Below are 11,146 nucleotides of genomic sequence, written 5' to 3'. Positions count from 1 at the left end.
GTCTGATTCAGTCAAACAAACCTTGTGGTTTTAGTCAGAAAGCAATGTGATGGTGGCTTCTGAAATAGAAGATCCCAAAACTGAGAATGTCAGTAATAATGACCTTGCTGCCCCGTAAAAAGTTTAGAATGAGCTGAAAACATTAAAGTTTTGTTTTTGAATTATAAGATACTGCCATGCTGCTTGCAACTGCAGTGAATTCAAAGCCTTGCTTACTGACTCAGAGCTACTCTCTCCCTTCATGTCCTCAGTTCCTCTTTACTCTTACACCTCAAAATTCCTTGCTGTAATGACAAAGATAATCAGGGATGAGACTAGGTCTGCCTGTTTACAAGGGTAACTGAATGCTATATACAGCAATCCAAGGATGTTGGGGGAGCTTCAAGAAGGAGAGAGGCAAACTTTGATGGCGCCATTGGACGGAACTGGCCAAGTCACAATCCTACATGTATGTGGAGGGAGGGGGTGCCCATATTCATCTGATGGGGTTTGAGGAAGTTTTGCAGTAGGAAAGGAAAGGACACTAACATGATATTGTGGGTAGGGCACTGCACTATTTTTGTTCCTTCTCCATTTGAATGTATAGTAAGAATTGACATGTTCATTCTTATATCATCCTGTGTCATAAATTCCTGGAATTCCTTTGATCAAGAAGAGTAACATTTGTGTTTTGTTTTGAGGGCCACAGTGTTCTCAAACATATTTGCATGCGTGTGTATGTGCGTGCATTCACACACACACACACACACACACACACACCTAGAACCCTCCTTCCTTACTGGCCTAAAAAGGAATGGAATACTTTAATCACTTATCATTGCCTTCAAGTTACGACCCTGGCATGCCTCAGATAAAATTGTCATGTATTATATAATATTACTCCTTGCACTATTTGTGGATAAAATCTTATGTACAGAAAATATAAGATACCCTTAAAAATTGAGTATTTAATATCTTAAGTGAAACTTTATGTTTAGTTACACCTTTGAAAGAGTGAAAGAAAATAAGCATGGAGGCACATTAGAAAAAGTGAAGTCCCAGGACATTTAAGCTTAATATGAGAGAATTATGCCTCTCTTTGGTTGTTGGCATGAAGAAGGAGGTTGGTAAATCAAGGATTAGGGAGTGCTCAAGACAAAATTTGCACTATATTAAAATTGTACTATGTGCATCTTTTAGAATAAAGTAAAAACTATCTCTAGGACTCCAACCCTGAATCCTACATGGCTAATATCCTCACAGATATTTGGTGGCATTAATTTGCATGAGTGGCTCTCAGTCCTAAGCATGAAGAGAGAGTTATTCCCTGCCTAAGCTTTATGAAAGGCTCGGGTATCTCTGCCTCATATGATAGGCAAAATTACCTTGAACAATATCCAAGGAGAATTCTGGGAAGATGGTGGAGTAGGAAGCACCAGCAATCAGTCTTTCTACCTCAATAGTAATTGCACTGGCCGTCTCTGACTCTTGTAACTGTTTTGGAAATCTGGAGTCTATTGAAGGCTTGCAACCCCCAGGGGAAGGCTTGATAGGTCAATTTTAGTTCTCAGCATAGTAGCAACCACTTATCCCTCATGTAGGGTAAGCAGGTGTGCATGCATTCCAGGAGCAGCTTGCATACAGTTAGTGGGAGCTAGGGTGGGCAAAAAGGACCCTGTTCTCCAAATATTAGGGAGCTGTGCTCTGATTGCTGATTGCTGCTTCTGATTACTGAGGTGCAGAAAAGGAGGTGGGTAGCCATTGTTCTTATACCTCCCTCATTGTTGCAAGCTGTCCACCCTATAGCTAAAGTGACTTCCAGGGGATTTAAAGGGTTGGCACCCATTCCTCCACTCTTTCATTTTTTCTCTTTTCCCTTTTTTGGGAGCCAGATATTTATGACTAGGACATTCACAAATAACAGCATATACAGGAAAATTAGAAAGTGACCATACTTGCCAGGGAAAGGCACAGACTCAGGAAACACCCGAGAAAACCTTAAGTTTACATCACAGGCTGATCCTTAGCACAGGGACAACCTACAACAATTTAAAAAGAATAAATAAAAACAACAAATAGCAAACTCTGGGGAAGGGAAAGAATATGATTTCCTGAATTGCCACATTATTAGATTCAAATGTCCAGTTCTTGCCAAAAAAAAAAAAAAAATCACAAGACACACAAAGAAACAGAAAAGTATGGCCCACTCAAAGAAAAAATAAACTATGGAAATTGTTCCTGAAAAGAACAGAAAGTATATCTACTAGATAAAGATTTCGAAGAACTGTCTTAAATATGCTCAAATAATTAAAGATGGGGAGAAAGCTAAGAAAACAATATATGAACAAAATGAAAATATCAATAAAGAGTTAGAAAACCTAGAAATGAACCAAAAAAATTATAGAACTGGAAAGTACAATAGTTAAAATGAAAAAAAAAATACTAGAAGGATTCAAAGGCAGATTTGAGTAGGGAGAAGAAGGAATCAGTGACCTTGAAGGTAGGACAATGGAAATTATCAAGTCTGAGAAACAGAAAGAAAAAAGTTTGAGGAAAAGTGAACTAAACCTAAGAAATCTGTGGGACACCATTAAGCAGAAATCAACATAAAATTGCAGGAGTCCCAAAGGAGAAGAGACAAAGTTCCAGAGAGAATATTTTAAAAAATAATAGCTAAACACTTTCTAAATTTGATGAAAGATATGAATATAAACATCCAAAGAGCTCAACAAACTGTAGGTAAAATGAACTCAAGGACATCTACATGGAGAAACATTATAATCAAATTTTTACAAGCCAAAGACAGAGAATCTTGAAAGCAGCAAGAGGGAAGTAACTTGTCATATACAAGAGTACCTCAATAAAATTATGAGATTTCTCATTAGAAACATTGGAGGACAGAAGGCAGTGGGCAAATATTTCAAAGTTGTAGTTGGAAAAATACTGTCAATCAGGAGTCTTGTATCTAGCAAAATTGTCCATAAATGAGGGAGGAATTAAGAAATTTACAAGTAAGCAAAAGCTAGGGAGGTTTTTGTTTGTTTGTTTGTTTGTTTTGTCATGTTTAAGGGAGTCCTGCTGGGTGAAATAAAAGGACAGTAGGCATTAACTTGAAGCCATATGAAGAAATAAATATCTCAATAAAAGTAACGCATGGACAATAAGAAAAGCTAATATTATTATAACAATCATCTGTAATGACAATTTTTATTTTCTACATGGTCTAATATATTATTACATTAAAAAAATTTAGTCTAAAAGCTAATACTATTGTAATCTTGGTTTGTAAATCCAGGTTTTGTTTTCTACAATCATCAAGAAATAATGAATTTTATTTCATGATGTTTGGAGCACACAATATATAAACATGTAATATTGTAACATCAACAAAAGGTGGTGATAAAGCTGATAAAGGAGCAATGCTTGTGCATGTTATTGAAGTTAAGCTAATATAAATTTAAATTGCAGTGTTATAACTGTATGATGATAAATGTAATTGCCATGATAACCACAAAGAAAATAGCCATAGAATACAAACAAAAGAAAATAAAAAAGAACTTCAAATGTTTTACTTAAAAAAAATCAACTAAACACAAAGGAGATGAGTAATGCAGAAAGTGAGGGACAGAAAAGCTGTAAGGCATCTAGAAAACAAATAGCAAGGTGACAGATGTAAGTTTACTTATCAGCAATTACTTTATTTTATTTTAATATTTATTTATTTATGGGGGGTTGGGGGCGAAGTCTCTTTGTTGCCCAGGCTGGAGTCCAGTAGTGCAATCTTGGCTCACTGCAACCTCCGCCTTTCGGATTCAAGTGATTCTCCTATCTCAGCCTCCCAAGAAGCTGGGATTACAGGCACGCACCACCACACCTGGCTCATTTTTGTATCTTTGGTAGAGACGGCGTTTCACCATTTTGGCCAGGCTGCTCTTGAACTCCTGGCCTCAAGTGATTCTCCTGCCTCAGCCTTCCAAAGTACTGGCATTACAGGTGTGAACAACTGTGCCCAGCCTTAGCAATTACTTTAAATGAAAATAATTTAAAATATCCAATGAAAAGACAGAGATTTGTAGAATAGATTAAAAAACCATAATCCAACTGCCTGCTTCCTATATTTGAATTAAATTTACATCCAAAGACACAAATAGATTAAAAAGTAAAGGAGGGGAACAGATATTTCATGCAGGTAGTAACCAAAAGAGAGCAAGGTGATTATAATAATACTAGACAAAATATGTTTTAAATTTTAAAAAAATTGGAAAAGACAAAGAAGGACATTTTGTGTTATAAAAGTTTTAATACAACAAGAAGATATCACAGTCATAAACATGTACATACCTAATGACAGACCACCAAAATATATTTAAAAAACTGACAGAATTGAAGGGAGAAATTGTTCTACAATAATAGTTGGAGACTTAAAATCAAATTCTCAATGTATAGAACAACCAGGGAGAAGTAAGGAAATAGATGACTTGTACAACACAGTATGCCAACAAGATCTAACAGACGTATACAGCCCACTCTACCCAAAAACAATAACAGACACATTCTTCTCAAGTGCACATGCGACATTTTCCAAGATAGACCATATGTTAGACCAGAAAAGAAGTCTTAATAGATTTTAAAAGATATACTTCATGCAAAGTATCTTCACTGACCAGAATAAGATGAAGTTTGAAATCAATAAGAGAAAGGAAAGAGGAAAATTCACAAATTTGTGGAAATCAATTAATACATTCTTAAACACAATGGATCAAAGAAAAAAATCACATGAAAAATTAAAGAAAAACTAAGAGATGAATGAAAACATAATCACAAGATACCAAAACTTTTGGAATACAGTGAGTGCAAAGGGTAAAATTACGGCTATAAATGCCTATGTTAAAAATCAAGAAAAATCTCAAATCAACAACCAAGCTTTACAATTTAAGGAACTAGCAAAAGAAAAGCAAGATACACCCAGTGCTAGCGGAAGAAAGGAAATAAGACAGATTAGAGCAGAGGTGAACAAAATAGAGAACAGAAAAGCAATAGAGAATATGATGAAACCCAAAACCAATGAAATCAAAGCACCAAAGCTAGTTCTTTGAAGTGATCAACAAAATTGAGAAACCTTTTAGCTAGCTAATAAGAACAAAGAGTAGGACTCAAATTGCTAAAATCTGAAATAAAAGTGGAATATTACTATGTATTCTATGGAAATAAAAATGATTTTAAGAGTGTATTATGAACAATTGTATGCCAAAAAATTTGATAACCTAAAGGAAATGAATCAATTTCTAGAAACATAAGACCTACCAAGGTTAAATCACAAATAAATGAAAATATGAATAGACCTATAACTAGTGAGAAGATTGAAGTAATAATAAAAAAAAGTCCTAATAAAGAGAGCCCTTGACTTGACGGTTTCACTGGTGAACGCTACCAAATATTTAAAGAAGCACTAATACCAATCCTTTTCAAAATTTGTCAAAGTATTGAAGAGGAGGGAACACTTTCTAACTCATTCTATGAGGCCAGTATTTTCCAGATACCCAAGCCAGAAAAAGACACTACACAAAAAGAAAACTATAGATATCTTTAATAAACATTAATGTAAAAAGTCTTCAATAAAATACCAGCATATTGAATTCAGCAGTAAATTACGAAGATTACATCCCATGACCAAGTGGGATTTATTCCTGGAATGGTCTCCACATATAAAAATTGATCAGTATAATGCATTACATTAAGAGAATGAAGAAAAAACACATATGATCATCTCAGTTGATGCAGAAAAACCATTTGACAAAATTCAACACCTTTTCATGATATAAAAACTAAACAAATTAGGAATAGAAGAAAACTACCTCAATATAATAAAAGTCATATATGAAAATCCTGCAGGTAACAGTATACTCAGTGGTGAAAGAGTAAAAGCTTTTCCTCTAAAAACATGACAAGGCAAGGATGCCTGCTTTTACCAATTCTATTTGTTACAGATTTGTTACAGTACTGGAAGTTTTAGCCAGAGCAATTGGGAAAGAAAAAGAAATAAAAGGCACCTACATTGGAAAGGTAGAAATAAACATCTCTATTTGCAGATTATATGATCTCATATGTAGAACTTTATAAAAAAATTCCTAAAGTTTGAACTAATAAATCAATTCAGCAAAGCAAGAGGATATATAGTCCACATACAAAAATCAGTCACATTTCTATACACTAAAAATGAACAATCTGAAAAGAAAGTTTAAAAAAAATTGAATTTACAATGTCATCAAAAACAACAAAATACTTAAGAATTAACCAAGTTGGCAAAAGACTTGTTGTCTTAGTCTGTTTGGGCTGTTATAACAAAATGCCATAAAGTAAGTAGCTTGTAAACAACAGACATTTATTTTTCCCAGCTTTGGAGGCTGGGAATCCAAGACAGAGGCACTAGCAGATTCTGTTTGGTTAGGACCTGCTTTTCCGTTTGTGAAAGTCCTCTTGCTGAATCCTCACATGGCTAAATGAGAAAACACTTGTCTCTTCAGCCCCTCATAAGGGCACTGATCTCATCGATGAGTACTCCGTCCTCATTATCTAATCACCTCCTGAAGGCCTCACTTTCTAATATCATCACATGGGGAATTAGGTTTCAACACATAAATTTTGGGGTCACACATTCAGATCGTAGCACTTGTATAATAAAAATTACAAAACGTGCTAAAAGAAATAAAGAATTCACAAATAAATGTAAGCACACCCCATGCTCATGGATTGGAAGACTTAATCCCGTTGAGATTTCAATACTGCCCAAAGCAATCTACAGACTTAATGCAATCCCTATCAAAATCCCAATGGCATTTTTACAAAAATAGAAAAACTCATCTAAAAATTCATAGGAAATCTCAGGGACTCTGAATAATCAAAATGACCTGGAAAAGAGCAAAGATGGAGGACTCAAACTTTGATTTCAAAACTTTCTACAAAGCTATCGTAATCAAAAAAAGGATAGTGCTGGCATAAAGACAGAGAGATAGAGCAATGGAAAATAATAGAAAACCCAGAAATAAACCATGATATATATGGTCAAATGGTTTTTGACAAGGGGGCCAATGCCATTCAGTGAGGTAAATGGCAAGTCTTTTGAACAATCAGTGCTTGGAAAACTAGATATCCACATATATATATATATGACTAATTATATATCCACATATATATTTGTCTAATATTTTATATATATACACATATATATATATAAAGTGAAGTCAGACCCTTACTTAACACCATATACAAAAATTAAAATAAAAAATCAAAATGGATCAAGGACCTAAATGTAAGGTCCCAAATTATAATAAGCAGTAGAAAATATAGTGTGGTTGACAGGGGCTGGAGTTTGGAGGAATGGGGAGTTACTGTTTAATGGTTATAGAATTTCAGTTTTACAAGATGGAAAGAGTTCTGAAGGTAGGTGGTGGTGATGGTTGCACAGCGTTATGAATGTATTTAGTATTATTGAACTATCACTTACAAATGTCAAGATGCTCAATTTTCTTATGTGTTTCTCATCACAATAAAAAACTTGGGCAAAAATCACCTTAAACAATTCTCCAATCCCAATTTTATGGCTTATGCAAGGCCTACAGCCTTACAAGATTCAAGAACTCTGAAGATTCCAGTGTTCAGGCACTTTTGTGAGTAAGCGTGGGTTTCTCTTTACTCCTTTTGTCTTCACCTCCTAACCTGTGTGTGGTCTATGTATTATCACAATGCATCCACCCATATTAATCCCCTTAGGTGTTTTCACAAGATATCTCCTTATACCAAACATTTCATAAACTTTACTGAATAACTGGAATGAGAGGGTGTCACATGTTGATCTTCTAAGGTCTCCCAGGCTTTATTAATACTTCTCCTACTTTTTGCTGATGTTCAGATCCTACTTTTTAAATTGCGTAAACCAAACATGAAGAACTCGGTAGATAGTAGAAAAATTGATATTTTCATTTAAAATCCTCTGAGATTACATCAAATTACTTAATTTGGACTGTTTAAATAATCATAGATTCATGTAGAAATATTTTAATCTAAAAATTTTGTCTTTAAGGATACATAAATACTTTTTTTCTGTTACCTCATTTTATGGAAACAGTTAAATACATTTTTGCAAACTATCGAAGGTATCTTAAAAAAGGCTGGGAAGAGCTATGATATATACAGCAATATTGTAAAACAAATCATTTTTTACCCTTTTATAGAGACTACTGTGACATATAATTTTTAAAGAGTTTAATGAGTTTGGAGGTTTCAAATGTTAACCACTGCCATATTTGGAGCTGCCAGCACCAAATATTTTTTAAAGTGACTACTTTTATTTTTTCCTTTTTCTGTGACTATACTTAAGATACTGCAGAAGAAATTATGTCATCAATAAGAATATAACTTTTTAAATATCAATAAGAAAAAATAATTTTCAGAATATGTCATAGTCAGTATTAAACATAATACAAGCTGGAAAGAAAGATTGAGAGATCTTGAAAGTGCAGTCTTGTGATATCCAGTTTGAAGAACTTTTGGCCCAGTGGAATTAATTGGGCCATTCTTCTTTCTCTCTTTCTCTCAGCACCCCTGCCCCTCGTGGAAGAGTTTACGTAAGATAGAAAATATTTCTTCCTTGAAGCTTTTCTGGAACTTACTGATAGATACATCTTGAATTAGAGTTTTCTTTGAAAAAAAATTATTGATTCAATCTTCTGGACTATACAGTGTTTCAGTTTCCTTTTTAGACAGACACTTTGGTATATTTTATGAGTATCTGAAATATTCATATTGATTGGTATAAAATTTTTTCTTTTTTAAAATATTTATTTATTTATTTATTTATTTATTTATTTATTTATTTATTTATTGAAATGGAGTTTTACTCTTGTCACCCAGGCTGGAGTGCAATGGCACCATCTAGGCTCACTGAAACCTCCACCTCCCGGGTTCAAGCAATTCTCCTGCCTCAGCCTCCCAAATAGCTGGGATTACAGGCACCTGCCACCATGTCCAGCTAAGTTTTGTATTTTTGTAGAGATGGGGTTTCACAATGTTGGCCAGGCTGTTATTGTACTCCTGACTTCAGGTGATCCACCCGCCTCAGCCTCCCAAAGTGCTGGGATTTCAGGTGTGAGCCATTGTGCTGGCCAAAGTTTTTTCTTTTTTTTTAATATATAAAATCTGTTCTTTAAATGTCTGTAGCATTTGCAGTTGTGTGCTCTATTTCATTGCTGATATTGCTTACTCATCTCTTTTTTTTTCTAATTTAGTTTCTGTCAAGTTAGACAATTTTATTAACAATATCCAAAAATAAAATTTGTGTTCTATTGATCCTTTCCATAGTATTTGTTTGTTTCATCACTTTCTGCTCTTAATAAAGTTTTTCTTCATTCTATTTTCTTGGGTTTATTTGTTATAATTTTTCTAACTTCTTGAGATGGATCCTTACCTCATTAGTTTTCAGGCTTCTTTCTCTATAATGTATTGTTTAAGATTTTAAATTTTCCCCTAAATATGGTTTTAGCTGCATTTACAAGGATTAGAAAAGATGGGAACATCACACACCGGGGCCTGTCATGGGGTGTGGGGAGGGGGGAGGGATAGCATTAGGAGATATATCTAATGTAAATGACGAGTTAATGGGTGCAGCAAACCAACACGGCACATGTATACGTATGTAACAAACCTGCACGTTGTGCACGTGTACCCTAGAACTTAAAGCATAATAAAAAAAAAGAAAAAAAGAGAAAAGTTTAGATGAAAGTATTTTCTAATTTCTGTTTTTTTAAAAAGTGTTTTTTCATGAGTACTTTCAAATACAATTTTAAATTTCTAACTACAGGAAATGTTTTAAAGTTATTTCATTATTTCTAGCTTAATTGTTTTGTGATGAGAGACTATTATACTGTATCAGTCTTCCAATAATTGTTGAGATTTTATAGTCAAGTACAAAATCAATTTTTGTAAGTGGTCCAGGTGTGCTAAAAAATAAAGTTTATTATTCTATTATTGTGGTTGTGTTTGTATGTTCATGCCTACTATAAACTCACTGTTGTTTTTGTCTGGTTGTTTTGTTAATTACTGAGAGGTATGTTAAAATTTTCCACTCTGATTACAGTCTATTTTGGTTTGCAAATTTAGAGTGGTTTTGTTTTTGTTTTTTGCTTTCATAAATGGAAACCGCTTAGGCTGACTGCTGTCTCTCTGTCTTACTCTAAGTAAGAAAAGCAAGGTCATCATTAGCAAATGGCAGTTGCAGCACAGCAACACCAAGAATCCACTTCACACTTAGAACTGAATGCTGCACCTCCTCTTTGTGGTTTCCAGCGCTCCACATGTTAAGAGAAGCCTCTCTAGTAGGAACTAAAGAAATGATTCCTGAAAGGAGTCTTTGTATATTCTTTCTTTATTCATCTTAAGGCTGTGTATTTCAAAATATATGAATTCAGCTCGTACTATTCTGATGAGTTAAAAACTTTATATTGTTACAAGACTCTATTTACTTCTTCCAAAACATTTATCTGATATCAACTTTTTTGAGATTAATATTTGCATGATATATCTTTACTTGGTCTTTATAATTCTATATCAATCTCATACTCACTATTGTCTTTCTCTAGCTATTCTTGGCATTGTTTTCTCTTTGTCCTTTATTTTCTGTAATTTCACTAAAATATTTCAACGTTTGGATTTATCTTTCTTTAACGTACTTGGAATTTGATGGATGTTTTCTTTGGACCTGTTGTATGTTCTTGTTTTCTCTTTAAATATTTTTTGGCCTTTTCTGTTTCCAAGCTGAAGTTAAATGTATTTTAAATAATCTAACTTTCATTTATATCTCTTAGCCTCTTTCTTATATTTTCCATCTATTTTTTTCTCTCTGTGCTATTTTCCGAATTCTTCTGGCTCAGCTTCTAATTTACTAATTCTCTCTTATTTTATGACTAATCTGCTGCCACATTCATTCACTGATTTTTAAAATTCTAGTTACTACATCTTTTACTTCTACAATTTTACTTTTCTTTAAATATGGTGTACATTGAAAAAATAATTTTCTGTTATATTCTGATAACTTTAAGCTGTTTTTTCCTCCCCCTCGGCCCCAATAGAATAGGCTTGTTTTTTTGTTTTTGTTTTTGATTTTTATTTTTTG

The 11,146-nt window shown here is 33.7% G+C and overlaps 1 non-coding gene across 1 annotated transcript; it reads right to left on the bottom strand.

The window, feature by feature from the left end:
* Nucleotides 1-10,172: 10,172 nt before the first annotated feature.
* Nucleotides 10,173-10,385, bottom strand: LOC124901507 (small nucleolar RNA U3). The gene has a single exon (XR_007059938.1). It is a non-coding gene; the product is annotated as a small nucleolar RNA U3 (small nucleolar RNA).
* Nucleotides 10,386-11,146: the final 761 nt, after the last annotated feature.

Source organism: Homo sapiens, chromosome 6, assembly GCF_000001405.40.
Source record: "Homo sapiens chromosome 6, GRCh38.p14 Primary Assembly".
Lineage (NCBI taxonomy): Eukaryota > Metazoa > Chordata > Mammalia > Primates > Hominidae > Homo > Homo sapiens.
This window is presented reverse-complemented; position numbering and strand designations above follow the sequence as displayed.